Source organism: Homo sapiens, chromosome 20 (genome assembly GCF_000001405.40).
Source record: "Homo sapiens chromosome 20, GRCh38.p14 Primary Assembly".
In the NCBI taxonomy this organism is placed as follows: Eukaryota; Metazoa; Chordata; class Mammalia; order Primates; family Hominidae; genus Homo; species Homo sapiens.
Window position 1 is genome coordinate 25,834,875 of NC_000020.11, and position 22,631 is coordinate 25,857,505.

General features: G+C 48.6%; 1 long non-coding RNA gene and 1 pseudogene across 1 annotated transcript, besides 4 other annotated features; one reads left to right on the plus strand and one right to left on the minus strand.

Annotated features, from left to right (window-relative positions):
• Window positions 1–9,792: 9,792 nt before the first annotated feature.
• Window positions 9,793–19,147, minus strand: LOC101926935 (uncharacterized). Its single transcript, NR_110001.1, has 3 exons — window positions 17,224–19,147; window positions 16,363–16,438; window positions 9,793–14,074 (listed from the first exon to the last, which is right to left on the minus strand). It is a non-coding gene; the product is annotated as an uncharacterized LOC101926935 (long non-coding RNA).
• On the plus strand, window positions 10,347–10,991 carry BSNDP2 (BSND pseudogene 2; annotated as a pseudogene).
• Window positions 11,469–11,979: an enhancer, noted in NCBI's record as "H3K4me1 hESC enhancer chr20:25826979-25827489 (GRCh37/hg19 assembly coordinates)". NCBI's record gives its function as "activates a minimal SCP1, AML or CMV promoter by ChIP-STARR-seq in naive H9 embryonic stem cells {active_cell/tissue: H9 hESC(naive)}" and the evidence as "EXISTENCE:reporter gene assay evidence [ECO:0000049][PMID:30033119]".
• Window positions 12,185–12,686: an enhancer, noted in NCBI's record as "OCT4 hESC enhancer chr20:25827695-25828196 (GRCh37/hg19 assembly coordinates)". NCBI's record gives its function as "activates a minimal SCP1, AML or CMV promoter by ChIP-STARR-seq in primed H9 embryonic stem cells {active_cell/tissue: H9 hESC(primed)}" and the evidence as "EXISTENCE:reporter gene assay evidence [ECO:0000049][PMID:30033119]".
• Window positions 13,102–13,602: an enhancer, noted in NCBI's record as "H3K4me1 hESC enhancer chr20:25828612-25829112 (GRCh37/hg19 assembly coordinates)". NCBI's record gives its function as "activates a minimal SCP1, AML or CMV promoter by ChIP-STARR-seq in primed H9 embryonic stem cells {active_cell/tissue: H9 hESC(primed)}" and the evidence as "EXISTENCE:reporter gene assay evidence [ECO:0000049][PMID:30033119]".
• Window positions 15,064–15,588: an enhancer, noted in NCBI's record as "NANOG hESC enhancer chr20:25830574-25831098 (GRCh37/hg19 assembly coordinates)". NCBI's record gives its function as "activates a minimal SCP1, AML or CMV promoter by ChIP-STARR-seq in naive H9 embryonic stem cells {active_cell/tissue: H9 hESC(naive)}" and the evidence as "EXISTENCE:reporter gene assay evidence [ECO:0000049][PMID:30033119]".
• Window positions 19,148–22,631: the final 3,484 nt, after the last annotated feature.

A 22,631-nucleotide genomic window follows, 5' to 3' on the forward strand; every position in this document is an offset into this window, starting at 1 on the left:
TGCCACCACGCCCAGCTACATTTCCTTTATTTTATTTTTTATAATTTACTACCCTGTTTGTTGATGACAAGACTGGCTGTGCACAAGGTTGGGTCTCGGTGCTCACCGGGAGCCGGGCATGGACCAGGTGGGAGGTTCTCCAGTGCCTGATACAAATCTGCAAGAAAGCGCAGGAAACGGCACTAAAGGTAGGCGTTCCAGCGCAGAAATGCGCAGGAATGGTTTTCCTGTGCTTGTAGGGAGGTCATCCCCAAGCGTTTCTTATTGGCTTCCAGTGAGACAAGATCACACCACTGCACTCCAGCCCGGGCTACAGAGTGAGACTCTGTATCCAAAAAAAAAAAAAGAGTGCTGAATGAATATCCATTGATGCATGAAATGGCTGCATTAAAGGAAAACTAGACAAGAAAAGACAAGGCAAAAAAAAGTCAAGGATCAGTATGAAAAATAAATATATTCTAAAAGATTTGTTTTTAAAGCAACTACATGGGTTTAAATTTTAAAGGGAAAGAAGTAGCTCCAAGATAGAGGAAACAGGATGGCTTCTGAAGAAGGGAGCATTATTCTTTGAAATGGAAAGAAATTATGACAAGAGGGTAGCACAGACTGTCCAAGAGGTGGAGGTAAAAGGGGGTTCTTGGCCAGACACAGTGGCTCACACCTGTAATACCAGCACTTTCAGAGGCCAAGGCAGGTGAATCACCTGAGGTCAGGAGTTCGAGGCCAGCCTAGCCAACATGGTGAAACGCCTTCTCTACTAAAAATACAAAAATTAGCTGGGCATGGTGGCAGGTGCCTATAATGCCAGTTCCTTTAGAGGCTGAGGCAGGAGAATCGCTTCAACCCGCGGGTGAAGGTTGCAGTGAGCCGAGATTGCATCACTGTTCTCCAGCCTGGGTGACTGAGAAAGAATCTCTCTCAAATTAAAAAAATTAAAAAAAATGTGTGTGGTGGGGGTATCTTGACTTTCCTCCATGTGTCTTAGGCCACAACTCTTACATGGGACCTTGCAGAAGAGATTCCTCAACCAATACCTTTATGGTGCTGCCTCCCTGATGGGCTGGGTTCTAAACAGCAGTGCCTTCCCCATCTGCTCAGTCCTTACTCACCTGGGCACCATCCTCCTGGTACGTCCCTTGAAACCATGCAGGACTCTTTCCCTTGCTCCAGTAAGGAAATCACATCAGGCTTTGGGATAGAGAGACCTGTTTATAAGAAAAGAAGTAAGATGGCCAGGCATAGTGGCTCACTCCTGTAATCCCAGCACTTTAGGAGGCCAAAACAGGTGGATTGCTTGAGGTCAGGAGTTCAAGACCAGACTGACCAACATGGTGAAATCCCGTCTCTACTAAAAACACAAAAATTGCCCAGACATGGTGGCCAGTGCCTGTAATCCCAGCTACTCAGGAGGCTGAGACGTGAGAATTGCTTGAACCCAAGATGAAGGTTGGAGTGAACCGAGATCGCACCATTGCACTCCAGCCTGGGCGATAGAGTGAGACTTCATCTCAAAAAAAAAAAAAAGAAAGAAAGAAGAAAAAGAAAGAAAGAAAGTAAGTAAAAAAGAAGGAAAGAAAGAAAGAAAGAAAGAAAAGAAGTAAGACATACTCCTGCTGTTCCTGAATTCAAAGTTAGTCCCTTAGTACTCACGAAGGACTAGAGGAAGGTGTAAAGGTCTGAAGCATGGAGAAGATGGAAGGACCCCAAAGAGCTGCCCATCTATTAATCTACTAAACACAAAACAATTCCCTAGGCAGCAGGTGAAAAGTCACCCAGACAAGTGAAAGCTACAGCCAAAACTCATGAGTTATTTGGGGATAGACATCCTTACCTAGTGAGACCAGGCTGCTATAGTTCTCCATCATTACATCTCTCTATAAGTCCTTCTGAGCAGTGTCCAGGCCCTCCCATTCCTCCTGAGAGAAGTCGATAGACAGATCCTGGAACATGCCCAACCCCTGAAATGACAAACCCAGGCAGCGCTGTTGAAATTAAAGGAAAGGTTTTTAAGATGAAGGAAGAGATGGAAGGGTGCTGAAGGATGGAGAGAATGTAGTGTGCAGACCGGCTAGGCTGAGAGTGGGGAAGAGTAAAAAAATTAGTGTGACTTCAACAAAGTACCTTCATGTTCATGAATATTCCTGTTGTGGCTGACAAACCTCCTTCACAGAAAGGGACATTCCCAGTATTCCATGGTTAGAGCTGGGAATGAATAAAGTACATTGATATATTATTTCCCAAATAAATGAAATAGAGTTGAAAAGCACACAGCAAGCTGTAGGCTTGGCAAAGCTTCAAGAATATTACAGTAAACATCTGATATGCAAGTTACTATTTACAACAAAAGCTTAATAAATAGGCACTTCCCCCTTACCATTTTCTTTCTTGTTTTTTTTTCTCTTGTTTCATTTTTTTGTTTTTGTTTTCACTTTGAGACAGGGTCTCATTCTGTTGCCCAGGCTGGAGTGCAGTGGCACAATCACAGCTCACTGCAGCCGCAACCTCCCAGGCTCAGGTGATCCTCTCACCTTAGCTTTGATTAGCTTTGATTATAAGCGTGCGCCACCATGTCCAGCTAATTTTTTTTTTTTTTTTTAGTAGAAATGAGGGTTTGCCATTTGGCCAGGCTACTCTCAAACTCCTGAGCTCAAGCAATCCACCTGCTTTGGCCTCCCAAAGTGCTGGGATTACAGGCATGAGCCACCACACCCAGCCTTGTCTCTTTTCTTAAAGGAAGACAGGATCTTTCAAAAATATCTACAAAAAGGTTAAAAACCTCTATTGGCCGGGCACAGTGGCTCACACCTGTAAACCCAGCACTTTGGGAGGCCAAGGCGGATGGATCGCCTGAGGTCAGGAGTTCGAGACCAGTCTGACCAACATGGAGAGACCATTTTAGTCTCTATTAAAAATATAAAATTAGCTGGGTGTGGTGACACATGTCTGTAATCCCAGCTACTTGGGAGGCTGAGGCAGGAGAATCGCTTGAACCTGGGAGGTGGAGGTTGCAGTGAGCCGAGATCGCACCACTCACTCCAGCCTGGGCAATAAGAGTGAAACTCTGTCTCAAAAGAAAAACAACAACAACAACAACAAAACCTCTATTGCACTTTGATAATTAGTACTTCCATAAAATAGTATAGATAGCACTTCGATAATTAAATGTACATTGGCTGGGTGTGGTAACCCACACCTGTTATCACAGCACTTTGGGAGGCCAAGGCAGGTGAATTGCTTGAACTCAGGAGTTCAAGATCAACCTGGGCAACATGGCAAAACCCTATCTCTACAAAAATACATATCATATACAAATTAGCCAGATGTAGTGGGACATGCCTCTAGTCCCAGCTACTTGGGAGGCTGAGGTGGGAGGGTTGCTTGAGCCTAGGAGGTCAAGGCCGCAGTGAGCTGTGATCCTGCCACTGCACTCCAGCCTAGGCACCAGAGCAAGATCCTGTCTCAAAAAAAAAAAAAAAAAAAAGGCCAGGTGCGGTGGCTCACGCCTGTAATCCCAGAACTTTGGGAGGCTGAGTAGGGCAGATCATGAGGTCAAGGGATCAAAACCATCCTGGACAACATGGTGAATCTCTGACTCTACTAAAAATACAAAAATTAGCTGTGCATGGTGGCACGTGCCTGTAGTCCCAGCTACTCGGGAGGCTGAGGCAGGAGAATTGCTTGAACCCAGATGGTGGAGGTTGCAGTGAACCAAGGTCATGCCACAGCACTCCAGCCTGGTAACAGATGGAGACTGCATCTCAAAAAAAAAAAAAAAAAGAGTGGGTATCATGGTAGGAATAAACTGCACACAGGTCAGACAAAAGTTACAAGGGCATCTGCCAGTATAAACAAGTTTCCTGTGAGACACCTGGTCATGGGTCAGATACTTGAGCATTAGGCTGTGGTCCAGGAAAAAGAAATGTCCAGTGAAAGGCTACTCTAAAGACCCACAGGCCCCTCCCCTAGAGCCCCATTAGAGTGAGGTAGAGTTTATAGCCATTCTCCTGAGAGACCTCAAGACCTAATTAGAAGAAAACTATAACATTTGTTATATAGAAGGCATTTTCCAAAGACTAGTTCAAAGATGAAAGATATAGTCTTCCTTTGGATATAAAACAAAATCTCAAGATACACCAAAACTGTTTTGCTTTTACTGAATAATTTTTGTGCATATGTGTTTAGCTGCAAGTGCCTAACAAGCTGTGATTTTCTTTCCTTTCCTTTCCCTTTTTTTTTGTCTTGAGACAGCCTTGCTCTGTCACCCAGGCTGAAGTGCAGTGGCCTGATCTTGGCTCACTGCAACCTCAGCCTCCCATAGCTGGGATTACAGGTGCCTGCCACCACACCCAGCTAATTTTTGTAATTTTAGTAGAGACGGGGTTTCACTGTGTTGCCGAGGATGGTCTCGAACTCGTGGCCTCAAGTGATCCACCCACGTTGGGTCCCAAAGTACTAGGATTACAGGCATGAGCCACCATGCCTGGCCAACTCTGATTTTCTAACTTGCCTCATGTATTAGGTTCATACTGGGAAAAAAACAGGTCAGAGCCATTGGAGCCACGTGTACAGATGTGCAGTAGCTCTGCTAGTAACACTGCTGCTTTCTTCGGCTCTTAAGACAGATGAGTTCAGCACGTGTCTGCCCTTGCTCTAGCTGTCTCTGATTCCCCCCAACAGATCCACAATCATGTCACTCAGTTAGATTCACTTTGGATATCCCATCATTAGATTAAAACCAGCAGGTCAAAAAGATAACCTGAGGAAATGCTTTCACATCCACAGTGTTCTCATAGGGCAAGTATCATTTAGACATGTCAGGACCGTGGTTGCAGAGGACAGAATGAAGTGTCATCCTTAACTGGCCATCCAATGTCATCAGCAAGAACAGGAGGACTTTATAGGATATTATCTGATGTTTTCTGAATATTACCTTACAAATGCTGCTTTACTTATAACTTAAGAATAGGGACCCTGTCTTTTAAAGCTTTATACATCCTCAAGTAAAGGTTTTTCATATTAAATCCATTAATAATATCTAAAGGCCGACCTGGAAATTCCATTTCTAAGTATTTATCCAAAGTAAAGATTTTTTTTTCTTTTTTTGAGACGGAGTTTTGCTCTTGTTGCCCAGGCTGGAGTGCAGTGGTGTGATCTCGGCTCACTGCAACTTCTGCCTCCTGGGTTCAAGCGATTCTCCTGCCTCACCCTCCTGAGTAGCTGGGATTACAGGCACGCAGCACCACGCCCAGCTAATTTTGTATTTTTAGGAGAGACAGAGTTTCTCCATGTTAGTCAGGCTGGTCTCAAACTCCTGACCTCAGGTGATCAACCCACCTTGGCCTCCCAAAATGCTGGGAGTACAGGTGTGAGCCACCACGTCCTGCCAAGAATTTTTTTTTTCTTGAGACAAGTCTCAATCTGTTACCCAGGCTACAGTGCAGTGAGGTGATCACAGCTCACTGCAACCTCTGCCTCCTGGGTTCAAGTGTTTTTTGTGACTCAACCATTAAAGTAGCTTGGAATACAGGCACACACCACCATACCTGGCTAATTTTTTTTTTGTATTTTTGGTAAAGAGCAGGTTTTACCATGTTGGCCAGGCTGGTCTCAAACTCCTGGCCTCAAGCAAGGCCACTTTGGGAGGCCAAGGTGGGCAGATCACCTGAGGTCAGGAGTTCAAGACCAGCCTGGCCAACATGGTGAAACCCTGTCTCTAATTAAAATACAAAAGGTAGCCAGGTGTGGTAGCAGGTGCCTGTAATACCAGCTACTGGGGAGTCAGAGGCAGGAGAATCACTTCAGCCTGGGAGGCGGAGGTTGCAGTGAGCCGAGACTGTGCCACTGCACTCCAGCCTGGGCAACAGAGCCAGACTGTCTATCAAAATATAAATAAATATAAAAATACAAAAAAGCTGGACACAGTGGCTCATGCCTGTAATCTCAGCGCTTTGGGAGGCCAAGGCAGGTGGATGACTTGAGATCAGGAGTTCCAGACCAGACTGTCCAACATGGCAAAACCCTGTCTCTACTAAAAATACAAAAATTAGTCGGGTGTGGTGGCTCACCCTCTAATCCCAGCTACTTGGGAGGCTGAAGCAGGAGAATCACTTGAACCTGGGAGGCAGAAGTTGCAGTGAGCAGAGTTCATGCCATTGCACTCCAGCCTGGGCAACAAGAGTGAAACTGCATCTCAAGAAAAAAAAAAAAGAATACAAAAAATTAGCAGGGTGTAGTGGCGCATGCCTGTAATCTAGGCTACTTGGGAGGCTGAGGCAGGAGAATTGCCTGAACCTGGAAGGTGAAGATTACAGTGATAAGACTGCACCACTGCACTCTAGCCTGGGTCACAAGAGCCAAGAGCGAGAATCCATCTAAAAAAAAAAAAGAGTTTCTATTTGGGGTGCAAAACAAAAGAAATGGAGTGAAAGGGATGTAAGGAAATTGAAAGTCAACAGGCTAATAATGCCAATAAATAATGATGGAGCAAAGAAATCAGTATTGGCCAAATAAAACCAACGTGTTTTGTAATATTTTTTCAAAATTTAGACAAAGTTTTCCAGTACACTGAGACACTTCTACTATCAAGACTATAATATTGGCTGAACACAGTGGCTTATGCGTATAATCCCAGCACTTTGGGATGCCAAGGCAGGAGGATTGCTTGATCCCAGAAGTTCAAGTCAAGCCTGGGAAATATAGGGAGACACCGTCTCTGCAAAAATTAAAATAAAATAAAATAAAATAAAATAAAATAAAATAAAATAAAATAAAATAAAATAATAATAAAATAAAATAATTAAAATAATAAAATAAAATAAAATGCCAGGCATGGTGGTATACCTCTGTGAGCTGTGACCACCCCACTGCACTCTAGGCTTGGTAACAGAGCAAGAAAGACCCTGTCTCAACAAAAACCTAGAATATAGAATAAATGACATTTGGGTAAGTGGAATATTAGGTGTTCAATAAACATAGGTTATTCCCTCCCTATCTCCATAGAATCATCAATTTTATTTTAAAAGAGAAGTTTTGATTAGAATCCAAAAATATCAATACTTCTCTTTCCAAAAAAGGAGGGAGGATTTAAATATAACAATTTCTTGGTTATTTCTATTTATTTTCATGGTTGCTTAATATTACTCAGTAACAAATATGCAATTGCTCTCTTTCAAACGTAGTTTTAATTAGTTGCACAAAATGCCAACTTATAGTCTGATGTACTTCAAATTTCCCTATCTATGAAAGCTAAATTTGGATATTATCATCTCAAGAATATTATAATCTCTGTCTTTAAATCTATCTGGGGTTCTACCTTTTCTGTAAGCCTTAGTGAATCTCACTATAGTCCTCCTTCCCTTTAAAAATGCAGTGATAGGCCGGGTGCAGTGGCTCTTCCCTGTAATCCCAGAACTTTGGGAGGCTCAGGTGGGAAGATTGTTGGAGCTCAGGAGTTCAAGACCAGACTGGGCAACATGGCAAAACCCCGTCTGTGCAAAAATTACAAATATTAGCCTGGCATGGTGCCATATGCCTATACTCCAGATACTTGGGAGGCTGAGGAGGGAGGATCCCTTCAGCCCCAGAGGTCAAGGCTGCAGTATGCCCTGACCCTGCCACTGCACTTTTGGAGGCCAAGGCAGGTAGATCACCTGAGATCAGGAGTTCGTGACCAGCCTGGCCAATACGGTGAAACCCTGTCTCTACTAAAAATACAAAAATTGGTCTGGTGTGGTGGCGGGCACGTGTAATCCCAACTATTCAGGAGGCTGAGACAGGAGAATCGCTTGAATCTGGGAGGTGGAGGCTGCAGTGAACCAAGATTGCACCACTGCAGTTCAGCCTAGGCAAGGCAGAGTGAGACTCTGTCAAAAAAAAAAAAAAGAAAGAAAGAAAGAAAGAGAAAGAAAGAAAGAAAGAAAAAGAAAATCAGTGATAGGTGAGGCAGCTCATGCCTGTAATCATAGCACTTTGGAGGCAGAGGGGGAGGATCACTTGAACTCAGGAGTTCAAGACCAGCCCAGACAACATAGTGAGTCTTCTTCTCTACTGTAAATTATTTTTAATTACACCATAGTGCTAGTGTGTGCCTCTGGTTTCAGCTTATTTGGCAGGCTGAGGTAGAAGGATCTCTTGGGCATAGGAGATCAAGGCTGCAATGAGCTGAGATCGTGCCACTGAACTCCAGCCTGGGAGACAGAGTGAGACTCTACCTCATAAATAAAAATAAATACATAAATAAAAATTCAGCGATGGAGTTGATGGATTTGAGGTTGAGGACCCCCAATGTGAACCCATTTGGAAAAAACTCAACCTGTGTTCTTCCTCTGCTTCACACCAAAAACACAACAATCTACCCAGAAGACTTCTGTGGCCTCAAAATATGAGGCGATTTCTCCCTTTCACCAAGCAAGGAATCAGTTCTGCAGCAGACACCAGCTGGGTGTCCACCAATTCGATTCTGACACTATCTGCCATAAGACAGTGTCACCTCACAGATTGAGGGCTCAGCCCCCAAAACTGCCCCCCTTTCAGACACCAGTCACAAGTCCCAGCCTCTGGAACTTCTGACTGATGGGTTTAATTTGGGGTTCCTATGACCTCCTCTTTGGTTTGATTAATTTGCTAGAATAAAATGGCTCACAAACCTCACGGAAACACATTTACTATTTGATTATAAGGATATTCCAAAGGATATAGATGAAGAGATGCCTAGCACGAGGTATGGGGGAAGGGGCACAGAGCTTCCATCCCCTCCCTGGGCACAACCCTCCAGGAACCTCCATGTGTTCAGCTCTCTGGAAGCTCTCCGAATCCACTCCTTTGGGGTTTGTAAGGTGGCCTCATTACATATGCATGATTGATTAAACCATTAGCCACTTGCCATCAACTTAATCCTCAGTCCCCTCCACTCCCCAGGGGTGGGAGGGTAGGGGCTGAAAGTCCCAACCCTCTAATCCTGCCTTGGTCTTTCTGATGACCAGTCCACATCCTGAAGCTATCGGTCAATCACTAACATATAAAAAGCCAAAGCCTGGGTGCGGTGGCTCACGCCTGTAATCCCAACACTTTGGGAGCCCGAGGCAGGCAGATCACTTGAGGTTAGGAGTTCGAGACCAGACTGGCCAATATGGTGAAACCCCGTCTCTACTAAAGAAGAAAACAAAGACAAAAATTAGCCGGGCATGGTGGCACATGCCTGTAGTCCACTCGGAAGGCTGAAGCAGAAGAATTGCTTGAACCCGGGAGGCAGAGGTTGCAGTGAGTGGAGATTGCGCCACTGCACTCCAGCCTGGGTTACAGAGCAAGACTCCGTTTCAAAAAAAAAAAAAAAAAAAAAAAAAAAAAAAAAAAAAAACAGCAAGCCCTTAGGACATTCCAAGGATTTTAGGAGTTGTATGCCAGGAAATAGGGACAAAGACCAAATTTGTATTTGACAAAATCACAGAACCGTATGAGTATTTAATTCAATACAGGCATGGAAACTGGCCCAAGCATTTACTCACAGATGACTGGGCAAATCCCTGGTCCTATGGGTACAAACTATTGATCAAACCCCCAATCTCATTCCTACCCCTAAAATATAGCAACGTGAAAGATCTTATTACCTATTTGGACTGAGATTAACACCATCCCTTAAACTGCATGGCTTTCAATCCCAGGGCTATGGCGTGTGATGCCACATAGAATATGCATGAATCTTCTCTCCAACAATTGAGTTGTTAGGATAAAGGCTCTTGTCTTTGCCTTCTTTCTCTCACAGCCAAGAATATTAAGGAACGTGGACACAAAGAATGAGTTTGGAACAGAAGTTTAATAAGCAAAAGAAGAAAGCTCTCCCCAGCAGAGAGGGGACCCGAAAGAGGGTTGCCAACTAGGAGGCTGAATCTGGGGGTTTTGTGAACTGGGAAGAGGAAGAATGTGCTCACTGGTCTGTGAGCTGTCTTGGAGATAGCACGACTTCGCTTGGCCCGGGACCTTAGCCTGGGACCAATCAGAGGCTGAAGTGAAATTTTGGCCCAAGACCAATCAGGGGCTGAAGTGAAAGTTTGGCCCAGGACCAATCAGAGGCTGAAGTGATGATTCATAGAGGCTCGGCTCACAGTCCAAAGCATGTCCAGAAAACAAAGTGGCCGCCGGAGCCTGTTAGTCCAAGCTGCACCGATTTGTAAGCCCCCACCATTTCACAGACCCTGTTCAGAGGGAAACATTCCACTGGGGTTTGGGCTGCGAGAAACATCCTCCCCAACCGCCTGACTTCCTTATCACATCCTGCTGGGGTAGCACTTGCTGCTACCCTGTGAGGGATGGAGGGGCACCCTGAAGCATTGGAGAAGTGCATGAGTGACCTAGCTCAGATGATGATATCATAGTAACCCTGTTTATTATTTATCACCTACCATGTGCCAGGCCTTGTGCGAAGTACTTTGCACACATTACCTGCCATAAAGCTCAGAGACAACTGTAGGAGTGAATCTGTTATAACTCCCACTTTACAGGGGAGGAAACTGACGCCCAGAGAGGTGAACCAGTCTTCCCCAGGCCTTGCACCTAGTCTCTAGGATGTGGATTCAGGCGGTCTGTCTCACAGATCCCCTCATCCTCTTGGTTTTTGCTCCTGCAGCCCTCTGGCCTGTCCCCAGGACCCTGTAACCTTGGCCACCCCCAAGATGACCTGGACATGGGCTTCAGCAAAGGCAGCAACCCCAGCATATCTCCATTTGATAGGGAGGAACCTCAGGCCCACCACAGGAGCCCTGGGCTGCAGGTGGTATAGGTGCTGGCTGAACCACAGTGCACCCATGTTGGAGGATGCAACATAGGATGGGCAGCAGCAGGAGGTCTCCCTGCCCAACAACTGGTAGTGGTACCTGAGAACAAAGGAGGAGAAGGAAGCTTTGGATACAGGTGTGGAGAAGCCCAAGGAGGAAGAAAAAGACTTGGACTATGGGCTGCTGGATGGCCTCAAGGATCCCCTCCCCGAAAAGGAATTTTGAGACTTATACCCAGGGCTGAGATGAAAGTGCTTCCTATTTTCTATCCTGGAACTGCTGCAAACCTCGGTGTGACATCACAGGGCCTCATTTCCCTATTTGTAAAATGGGATTTTATGGGGGTTCCAATGAGAGACTGGACCGAGAGCATTTTGAGAATTGTAAAAAATGTACATTGAGGGAATAATTATTATCAATGGGCCATTGCTCTTCCAATAGTTAGTATTCTTTAGCAAATATTGGAAGGTAAAATATGATTTATTGAGGAGGTTTGCAGCAGCTGAGGCCCTCAAGAGTCTTTTCTGTCTCCGTTCAAAGCTGGCCTCTGACAGGGACCTTCTTGGTGCTACCCCTGGGCCCCTCATTCTTTGTGCAGGCTTCTCAGGGTTCTTATTTCTATTGCATCTTGTGGTTCCCTGGTGGATGGCATGCTCCATCTTCACTCAGAGCTAACTGCATCTCCTCCAGGCCCATGTCCCTTGTGCAGCACCCATTGCTTCCTCACCAGGATTCAAAACCTTCTGTGACTGACCTCTGCTGACCTCCCAACTTTATCTCCCCTCATTCTTTCTGCTCCTCCAGTTACATGCCTGAGCCCCTCAATCCTGTGGCTCACACTCTCACCCAAGCTGTTCTCCATCAGGATTTGCTTGGCTCCCTTTTCTGCTAGGCAAATTTGTGTTCATCCTTCCAAGCCTTGCACAGATGTCCTCCTCTGAAAGCTCTCCCTGAGGTCACAGAGTCCTGGAACAAGGTAGTCATTGCTCCTCTGCTGCCTCTGCATTTTGTGCCTTTATCACTTTGGTGTGACTGCCCGCCTCCTGCTGAATGGAGGCATTTTGGCTTTACTCACCTCAGTATCTCCTGGGTCCAGCTGGGTGTCTGGCCTGGCCCAGAATCAGTGCTCATCAAGGGTGTATAGAACTCACAAGGACCCAGGAATGTTTTGTAAATAATACCACCCTCCCACACTTCTCCAATGCTTACTTTCTAAGCTCCTTTACTCTTTGACATTCAAATTTCTAAATGGCCTGTATGTATTTACAAAGCCTGGGAAAACGCCTTCAGAGGACAAACACACCCCACCGGCAAAATGTATTTGCATTGACTAGGATTATGGATGATATTCAGCCTTCTGGCAAATGAATCATTTGGCATTGGCTGAGTATCTGCTCTGTGCCAGATACTAAGCTGTGATCTCTAGAAAGAGACATGAACTACTGACACAGTCCTTGACCCCGAAGAGCTCAGAATCCAGTGAGCTTGATTTCTTGTAAGTTAGAGACAGAGTTCAGAGCAGAAGCTGAGGCAGGAGAAGAGAAGTAAAATGGACACATCAGAGGCAGTGACAGCCACACAGCTGTCTGGGGACACTGAGTGCAGCAACAAATAGCTTAGGCTGCCTTGGCAGCCCACGAAGGTATCACGGTTTCCTATTGCAGCATCTCAGTGATGCTTTTGTTATGCTGATCTCTGCAAAGCCCCTCTGTACCCCAGCCCAGGATGGTGACTGCCATGCTGTGGAGAAAAGGGCAGTGACCAGGACCACAGGCTCAGAGCTTGCACCCTGGACCACCTGGGAATGGGAGCCCTTCACATGTTCTCTACCTCTGTGTTCAGGTTGGGGGTCCTGGCCAAGGAAGGGAGATGACCCCCATGCGGGGTCAAAAGGACACACTCCCGGGAACAGACTGTCTCTTCTTTCTGGGTAATTTCTGCCTCTGCAGTGAATGGTGAAACCAGACACATCCTCTCTGTTGGTATGACACAAAGACAGGCGTTCCTGCTCATGGGCTGAATCTTCAGATGAGGGGAGGTGTAGCAAACTCCTGTGCTCTGATGACTAAGGCAGGGACACATGTCACCCCATCGGAATGAGTGTCAGACCAATGGCTAAAATAAAATCATTTTCAATATTCAAAGGAATCACCTTCATTCATCTACAAATACTTTTCCTTTTCTTTCTTTTTTTTTTTTTTTTTTTTTTTTTTGAGAAGGAGTTTTGCTCTGTCGCCTAGGCTGGAGTGCAGTGGCATGATCTTGGCTCACCGCAACTTCTGCCTCCTGGGTTCAAGCGATTCTCCTGCCTCAGCCTCCGGAGTATCCGGTGTAGCTGGGACTACAGGTGCCCACCACCACATCTGGCTAATTCTTGTATTTTTCATAGAGACAAGGTTTCACTATATTAGCCAGGCTGGTCTTGAGTTCCTGACCTTTTGATCCGCCTACCTTGGCCTCCTAAACTGCTGGGATTACAGGTGTGAGCCACCGCATCTGGCCCAAGTTTTTTTCTATAAAACCACATATTGCACTCAGGGTAGGGTAAATGATGCATCATGCCTGCTGGCAACATGGGCCCTATCTGGAAAGCGAGTGCCCACCACCATAGCACAGTTCCATGCAGTGCCTGTGTGGTGCTGAATCTCAGGAGCAGCCCCAATCCTGTGAACCACAACTACAGGGACCTTAGACATAAGCAAATACTTCTGGTGGCCAGGCCTGCCAGCAAGCAGATGCTAACCCTGTCCTGGGGGCCTGCAGAGAGGTCGGGCCAGTGCAGAGGTGGTGAGACCCATGTCTGGTCTCCCCAACTCCCACCCATGCTATGCAATGGGGGCGACCACGCACCCGATCTGCCTGGGAGGGTCCTAGTGTGCCCACTGCCTTGCTGAGTTATGAGGGATGCTGCCTCTCACATCTCACCGGTATCGCATTTGAAGGACAAATTATGTCTTCCCTTCCCCACCCTGTGGACCTCCGTTTCCTCATGTGCAAGTGGGGGATGATAGGCTTACATGGTTATGCAGTGGGGGTATCAATGGGATCCATCTGTCAATACCTTGCATCCAGTGACCACCTGGAGCACACCTGCAGTTCGCAAGTTAGGCTTCCTGCTGCAGTGAGGGGAGCAAGCACTGCCTGGAGCCAGGGAGCTTCTCTGAAGGAGGTGTTGGAAAGGACTTGTTCCAGAATTTGGGCTTGTATTGGGAGCTTGGGGGAAGGTTGAAAGAAGCCTTTGCTCCAGATTGGATGCTGTCAGAGGCAGGGTGGATTCTATCACCTGGCATCTTCCCCAATCTTACCTAGAAGGAAGGAAGACAAGACCAAAGCTAACGCTGCAATTGACAGAGGTAGTGGTCATGACATAGACACAGGGGAGGGGGTGTGAGGTCATTTTTGTCCATGTTTTGCATGAGCTGAGCCATGATAGCTACCAAGTGACCTTGCTTTGTCTTGACCCATCATGGTCACAGAGCGACCTTGTCTGATGCTGACAACCTGTGCAGTTCAACAGGAGAACACCAACGTCTTGCCAGCAGTGGCTGCTGTCCTCCTGAGGCCTCGCTTCTCCTCCTCTGGGGCCTACTGCTGACCGTGGGAGGTGTGGAGTGGGAAGGGAATATGCCGTGGGTTTTTTTTTTTTTTTTTTTTTTGCAGAACAAGGACAGGGGACTCTGATGCCTTCAGCTCTGGCCATCCTGAGTGCTGTGATCTGCTTCCCCTGCTTCCTACACCACCCACAATCCCACCACGCTGCTGCAGTCACTGCCAACTCATAGTGCCTTCTAAGGGCCCCAGTGTCTCTGGGACACCCCTCTCCCCTGGGAGGGAAGCCAGGTGCTCATGAATGTCCCAGGTGGAGGTGCTGAAAAAGTGTGGAGATGCCTTCTTGAGTGTCAAAGTCTGGGATTCCAGCTTTCAGCCTCAGGCTCCAGGTGTGTGTGCTGAAGTGGAATTTTCTTCTCTCGTTCACTCTCCTGTCTGGTCAGAGGAACTTGGGGAGTTTCCTCTCTAGGGGAGGGAAAGGCCCTGGAGAGGTGGCCTTGCCCTGAACTGGGAAGGGGTGGGCATGGGAAAGCAGGGGCCTGGGCTCTGCCTACTGCTTGCTGAGAGCTTGGACATAGCACTGCCCTCCCTCAGCTCCTGTCTCCTTTCTCTGTATGATTAGGTGGAGGTGGATGGGATTCTGCTTCTACTCCCAGTCCTTGGGCACCATGTCAGGTACTCACACACTTATGACCCCATCTGGTCTTTGGAATGGCACTGGGGGATGGATCTGTCAATCTCACGTTGCAAATGTTTGTTCTAAATCCCACACTCTGAAGTCAGAAAGACCTGGGTTAGCCCTCAGCCACTGACGGTTGCTTGCTATGTGACCTTGGACAAGTCACTGCCCTTCTCTGAGCCTCAACACCCACATTTACACAGGGGAAGAATAATACCTCCCTCTTGGGCTGCTGTGAAGCAGAGCTAATGCGTACATTGCCTCAGGCACATTGCAGGTGCTCAAAGTGTTGGTCTTTCCTTCCCTTTCTAGGTCTCCATTTCCTCATCTACACAGTAGGGAGCAACTCTGTCCTGATTATAAATAAGACAACAGGTGAATGCACTCAGCAAGCCTAGGGGCAAGGATGCGTAGAGAAGCTTCTTGCAAAGGTGAAGAATGTGTGCTCTGAGCCCCGTGCTGAGAGGCAGGTGAGAGGACAGCAAGCCCAGCGACTGAGGCCTACAAAATGCCCCCTGCAGAGAGGGAGGAGGAGCAGTGTTCTAAGGCGGGTGGGAGGCAGCATCCCCAGTGCTTGCAGGAGGAGCAGGACTGTTGTGCTTGCTCAGGTGGGTGGTAGGTTAGGTTCTTAGGTATCTGCTGGGTATCAGATGCTGCACAAGCATCATCTCCGTGAACTTAATCTTTCCATCATCCCTGAGAGGTGGGCATTACAGGGGCATAGTGGGATTGAAACACAGGTCCCCTGAGCCTGTGCCTTTTCTACAAGGCAATTTAGTTCACATGTAATAATAGGACCCAAAAATACACCTGCTATGCTGTGCTCACCTGATTTCATAACATCCTTGTGACCTGCCAGGTTGGTGAACTGTCATCATTTTATGGATGAGAAAACTGAGGCTCAGAGAGGGTGAATAATTTGCTCATCCTTCCAAAGAACTAAAAGGAAGAGAGGTGCTATAGCTGTGGGGCCTTCTATTCCTGGTAGGAAGTGTGCAGTACCCAAGGCCATTCTGACCCCAGTGCAGGCAGGAGAAAAGGCACATCAACAAATCCAGCAGCAAGCTTCCACTGAGGGCCTCCCTGGCCTTTCCTTGCACTAGTGCTGAGGGAGAAACAGCCTTGTTCCTTCACCTAACATGGCTTCTTGCTGCCCCCAGGATAAAGGTCAGAGTCCTCAAGTCTGTGTTTGAGACTCTTCATGGTCTGGTCCCACCTGCGTTTCCAGCGAAATCCTCCACCAGGGTCCCCAGTGCAGCAGCCCTGGCCACCTGTCCCATCCTACCATCCTGACTTGGCTCAAGCTGCTCCCTCTGTCCCATGGTCTTCACACATAGAACAAGGAGAAGCTTGATATAGGCTAACCTGAATTTTCCATTTGAGAGCATTTTCAGCTTCTGGAAACAGACATTTCACCCAAAATTCCAGATTCCCTGCTTCTCTGAAAATACATACATACATACATACATACATACATACATACATACATACATATATAAATCTGCTCTTACTCTGCACTATTCTGTTTTCTGAGACAGAGTTTCACTCTTGTTGCCCAGGCTGGAGTGCAGTGGTGTGATCTCCACTCCCCACAACCTCCGCCACCCAGTTTCAAGTAAGTCTCCTGCCTCAGACTCCTGAGTAGCTGGGATTTACAGGCATGCACCATCATAGCCAGCTAATTTTCATGTACTTTTTTTTAGTAGAGATGGAGTTTCATGATGTTGGTCAGGCTGGTCTCCAACTCTTGACCTCAGGTGATCTACCAGCCTCGGCCTCCGAAAGTACTGGGATTACAGGTGTCAGCCACCTCACTTGTCCAGTCTGCACTATTCCTTAGTGTCAGACAATTTGAGCCAAACAATGTCTTTCTCATTTGGACGTGACCTTCAGGGTCTAATTTTTGTATTTTCAGTATAGACCAGTTTTTTTTTTTTTTTTGACAGAGTTTCACTCTTGTCCCCCAGGCCAGATGGTGCAGTGGCATGATCTCAGCTCAATGCAACCTCCGCCTCCTGGGTTCAAGTGATTCTTCTGCCTCAACCTCCCGAGTAGCTGGGATTACAGTCACCTGACACCACACCCAGCTAATTTTTTGTATTTTTAGTAGAAACAGAGTTTCACCGTGTTGGGCAGACTGGTCTCAAACTCCTGACCTTAGGTGATCCACCCTCCTCAGCCTCCCAAAGTGTGGAATTACAGGCATGAGCCAGAGCCTGGCCTTACCTGGCTAATTCTTTGTATATTTGAAGAGACAGGGTTTCACTGTGTTGGCCAGGATGGTCTTGATCTCCTGACTTCGTGATCCGCTGGCCTCAGCCTCCCAAAGAACTGGGATGAGAGGTGTGAGCCACTGCACCCGGCCTCAATGTAGCTTATTATCAAAGTATTTACACAGAAAAATTAATCAAAGGGCACAAGCATTTCAATACTTAGGTTAAGATGAAATCTGTGGCCGGAAGAGGGCCAGACACACATGAAATGTTTTGTGCATGAAGGAACCACAACTTAAAATGATTTTCTGTTATTCGTTTTGGTATGTTATTTTGGAAATGTGATTAATCACGTATGTAAAGGACGTTGGGAAGAATTTCCAGATACTCTGATATGCATGACATCTTAATCACACAATATAAAGCAAGGCTATCTTAGGAAATTAGGTATCACTGCCAAGGACCTTTACATGAGATGATAAATTAAAATTACTATTAAATTTGTAACAGTCAGATGGGCTGGCAGGCAAGTTGCGTCATTTTTTTCTCAGTATTTTTTCTTTTTCCTTGATTCAATAAAACAAACTTAAATGCCAGTTATCTGCAGAACCCTCACTAGACTATGTTTAATGATATGTGAAACACAGCCTGCACACTCACAGATCCTTGCCACGTCCCGTTCCCATCCTCTCAAAACCTGTGTTACCCTGTGGCTAGATTTCTCAAGGAGATGAAAGAGAGAGACGAATGAGAACCACCTTCTTTCAGGTCGCTCTGCACTGCTCCTGCAGGTAGACAATGACCTCTCCGGTGAGGCTATTATCCTTGGCTTGGGGGTGGAGGCCTTTATCCTGGAAAAGAGGCCTCTCAGGGTGGGGAGGTGATTTAAATTCTTATGAGAGAGACGCAGCTCCCCATCTCATCTGGACCTTCACAAACCTAAACTGGAACCGCCAGAAAAATGACTGACAACGGGCCACGCAAGCCAGGCAGAGACGCGGGGAGAGGCTGACCACAAGAAAGGCGGACGTAGAAGATACCGTCCTCTGGCGCACAGGGCACATATGTCCCAACACACACACACACACACGCACACAGGGACACAGAGCAAAAGAGTGAGAAAAGGGAGAGAGAGAAACAAGAGAGAGACATACGCACACACACAAACGCACAGACATACAGCAGTGGCACGGTAACACCTACACCCAGGCAGCCCCTGAATTTTCAGGGTTCTGCTCTCCACGACTACAACCCACTAGTGAGAGAGCAGCCCACGGGCACACAAGCAAACCTCTCCTTTTTTGAAGAGACTCACTGGCACACCGTCCGTGCAGGCCTGAACCTGGGATCCCGCGCTGCTTGCCCGGCCCTCCACCTGCAGTTTCTTCCTCCTGGACGACCCTCCGTGAATCCCGGCCTCCAGAGACTATCCTGTTGATGCCCTGGCCAGGACTGGTCTTAGCCCCGACACTGACTAATCCCTCTAGTACCAGGTACTCGGGAGGCGGAGGCAAGAGAATCACTTGAACCTGGGCGGCAGAGTTTGCAGTCAGCTGAGATCCCGCCACTGCACTCGACTGAGTGACAGAGTGAGATTCCGACTATTAAAAAAAAAAAGATAGAAAAGAAAAATGACCGCGGAGCGGCGGCTGCGGGGACTGGGGCGGCGGCGGGTGAAGTGAAGATTGGGAAAAGGGCTTCGTCGACCCTTCCCGAATCCGGGCCTGAGGCTGGGATCTCGCGCTGCCGCCCGGCGATCCGCCTGAGGTTTCTACCTTCTGAGGTTTCTTCCTGGTGGTCAGCCCTCCGAGAATCCCAGGCTCCGGAGACCATCCTGTTAAAGCCCTGGCCAGGACTGCTCTCAGGCCCGACTCTGACGCACTATCACACAGGGCTCCTACTTCGCAAAGTCTCAGGGACCCATCCACGGCAACAGTGGCAATCACTACGACCAAAGCGGAGGCTCAGGCCTTGCGCATGCGCACTGGCGAGACCGAATCCCCGCTTGCTCCGCAGAGTCCGGCGGCGGATCCTTTAAAAAATGGCGGCGACGCGCGGCTGAGGGGACTGGGGCAGCGGTGGCGGCGGCAGCGCAGTCCGAGGCGGCGGGTGGGAAGAGGACTACGATAGGGTCCTGCGGGAGACCCAAGGGTTGTACCCATAGAGGTCCTGTCATCAGGACCTTCTTGATCGGTCTTCTGCTTCGGTTACCGGTGGAGGAGGAGCTTCAGGGTGCGGCTGGGCTCTCTGGAATCCTCTTCGACCTGACTATGGATCCCACGGGGTGATCAAGAATGGGGTTACAATGCAGTGAGGCGGGAAGGGTCTCGCTGGGGCACAGAAAGATCCTAAGGGCTGCAAGGTGAACTGTCAGCTGAAAATGCACTGACCCATGAGCCCACTGCCTCCCTCCTTCCTAGGTGGAGCAGTGGCCTGACTTCATCTCCAAGGTTCGGGGCTCTGGCATCCCGACACTGCTTTCCGCAGCATGTGCAAGGAGAGACAGAGGTGAGTCCGAGATGGAGCCAATGTGACCACACGTGGCACTAATGTTCCCCAAGAGCAGATGGAGTCAGGGTGGGTCTTTGAGGCCATATGGGGTGATGCTGAGACGGATAGTGACGTCCAGATGTGCGCAGGTGGGTCACTGGGACCTCCCACACAAAGCCAAGGAAAAGCCAAGCACACTAGAAAACCTGTGAGACAGGGCCTGTGCCTGAGTCCAAGCCACATTCAGGGATGACTGCCAGAGGGGCCAAGAGGTTTCGACAAACGACACCATACCGACATCCCGCTACCGGTAGGTACCCCTGACGCCACCTCCCCTGCACCCAGCAAAACCCAGTCCCTTTGGCTCCCTGACATCCGTGGCAGCCAAAAGATTCAGTGCTTAGAGGCACTTTCCCCAGGAGCAGAGGAACGGAATGGCCCTCAGGAATGAGAGAGGAAGGGCAGGTGGGATGCAACACTAACTTTTCTAGAAGGCAAAGGTCAGCCACAGTGGGGTTGCCTCCCGCTCTTCCTGGACGGACCACAAAGCCATCACTTGGGACATGCAGACAAAGGGAGCTTCCCTGTCCAAGACAGGTATGGAAGCCCAGAACTCCAGGATCATGACACCCTATCATCCAGAAATAGGTTTGGAGAGGGAAGCAATCATAAAAGGGACCCCAACGAAATTTCTTCCTAATGGACTGAGAAGTGTTCTTTGTTGAAGACATTGAGCCAGACTAAGAAGCCTCTAGGCTTCACAGGAACTGGGCAGACAGAACAAGAGGGAGGACAGAGCAGAGGCCAATGCCACAGCACAATGCCACTATCACGGGCATCCGGGAAAATGTGCCAAATGGGTGACTAGGCCAGGAAGGCCAGCGTTTGAGTGACAGACATGCTTGCCCCATCTTGTAGCCAGCTTCCTTCTCCGTCCCAGTGTATAGCTGTGGGTAGCTTTCTCAATGAGGGCAAAGGGCGAGAGGAGTGAGAACCATCTTCTTGAAGCTCTGTGGGCACACTCCTGCAGGTGGACAATGAGCACCTCTGAGGCCTTTGTCCTTGGCTGGGGTGCAGTCGTCTTGATCCTAGCAAGGAGGCAGCACAGGATGGGAAGGATATTAAAACTCCTGCAAGACAGGCCGGAGGCACGAAGCCCCTTCACTGAAGCACAGCCATGGAGAACTCCTGCTATGCCAAAATTCAGGGACTGGATACTAAGACAACAGTGGAAATCACTGTGACGAGACAATCAGCTAGAGCCACGCGGAGGCACACTGGCTGGGCCGACTAAAGCTCCGGTGCTGGACGGCAGGCAGCTGCCCCTTTAAACAATGGCTACTGCGCGGTAGCAGATGGGCTCCTGTTGCAGCCTCGGCAGCGACTGGATCCAGGGTAAAGTTTGCAGCGGCCTGGTAGAGGCTGTGGCCGGTGTCCTGTCCCAGGGCGAAACCCCCAGAAGTCCTGTCCTCAGGACCTCCTTGAGCCGACTCCCACCAAGGGAGGGAGAGCTACAGGATGTCTGCTGGGTTCTCGGGACTCCCCTTCAGATCCGATTTTGGCCCCCTCCGAGTGAGATAGGATGGGCTCACCACATCTGTTGAGGCAGGCAGGGCATCGCTGCAGCATAGAATGATCCCATGGGTTTCAAGGCGTGGTGTCAGCTGAAAATTCACTGATCCATCAGCCCTCTGCCTCCCTTCTCCTTTGAAAGAGCACTGGCCTGCCCGGCTTCTAAAAGCCATGGGGCTCCGGAAGCCAACCGCAATTTACAGGACACGTGCAAAAAGGAACAAGGGCGAATCCCAGGTGGAGACCATGCGATGACGTGTGGCTGTGGCCCATCCCACAGCAGATGGCGTGGATGTGTGTAACCAGAGGAATGTGGGGCGACGGCGAAACAAACGGTGGTGTCTAAGCATGTGCCCGGTGGAAGGGGGGGACAAGTGACATTTCCATCACAGCAATGAAAACTTAAAGAACACCTGGGAACCAGGAGGGGGCTTGTGACTGACCGGATACAAAATTTGAAATTGCTGCCAGAGGAGCAAAGAGGGTTCTGCAAATTTCACCCCAACGCCAAAGCTCCATCGCCCATGTAGCCCTCACACAACGTCCTGTGCACCAAGCCCCAGCCCCAACACCAGCCCCAGCCCCAGCCCCAGCCCAAGACCGAGCCCAGTCCCCTTGTTTCCCTGACATTCGTTAAGGCCAAAAGATCCAGGGAGACAGTCCACCCATGAGAAGAGGAGAGGATGTCCCTCGAGAATGAGACAGGAAGTGCAGAGGAAATGCGACACCACCTGTGCTAGAAGACAAGGCCAGTCCCGGTCTCCTAGCGCTCATTCTAGGCAATCCACCCACCCATGAATGGAAACATGGAGAAGAAGCAAGCTTTCCTGTCTGAGACACTTATGGGAGCAAAGAGCTCCACGGTCACGAGATCTGCCCAATCAAGCAGAAAGAGGTTTGGAGAGAGAAACAATCATAACAGGGATCTCCAGGAAATGTCTCCCGGACAGACTGGGAAGTCAAGCACTGGGAAGTCCCTAACGGACAGGGAAGACATGTGGCCAGAGCGAGAGGCATCTAGGACAGGGGAGGCAGAGCAAGAGGGAGGACAGAGCAGAAGGAGCAAGAGGGAGAACAGAGCAGAGGGAGGACAGAGCAAGAGGGAGGAGAGAGCAGAGGCCGGAGCCCAGGCCGGATATAGCACCATGCCACCGCCACAGGCATAAGGGGAGGGGTTCCAAAAGGGTGGCTTGTCCAGCGAGGTCACCGTTCCAGTGACAGGGATTGTTGCCATCTCTCATTCCCGGCTTCCTCTTGCAGACTGTATCATGGTGTGGCTTCATTTCTCAGAGAAGAGCCGTGAAAAGATACAAGCATCTTCTCTGACGTGGGTCCGCTGCTCTCCTGCGGGACAAAGAG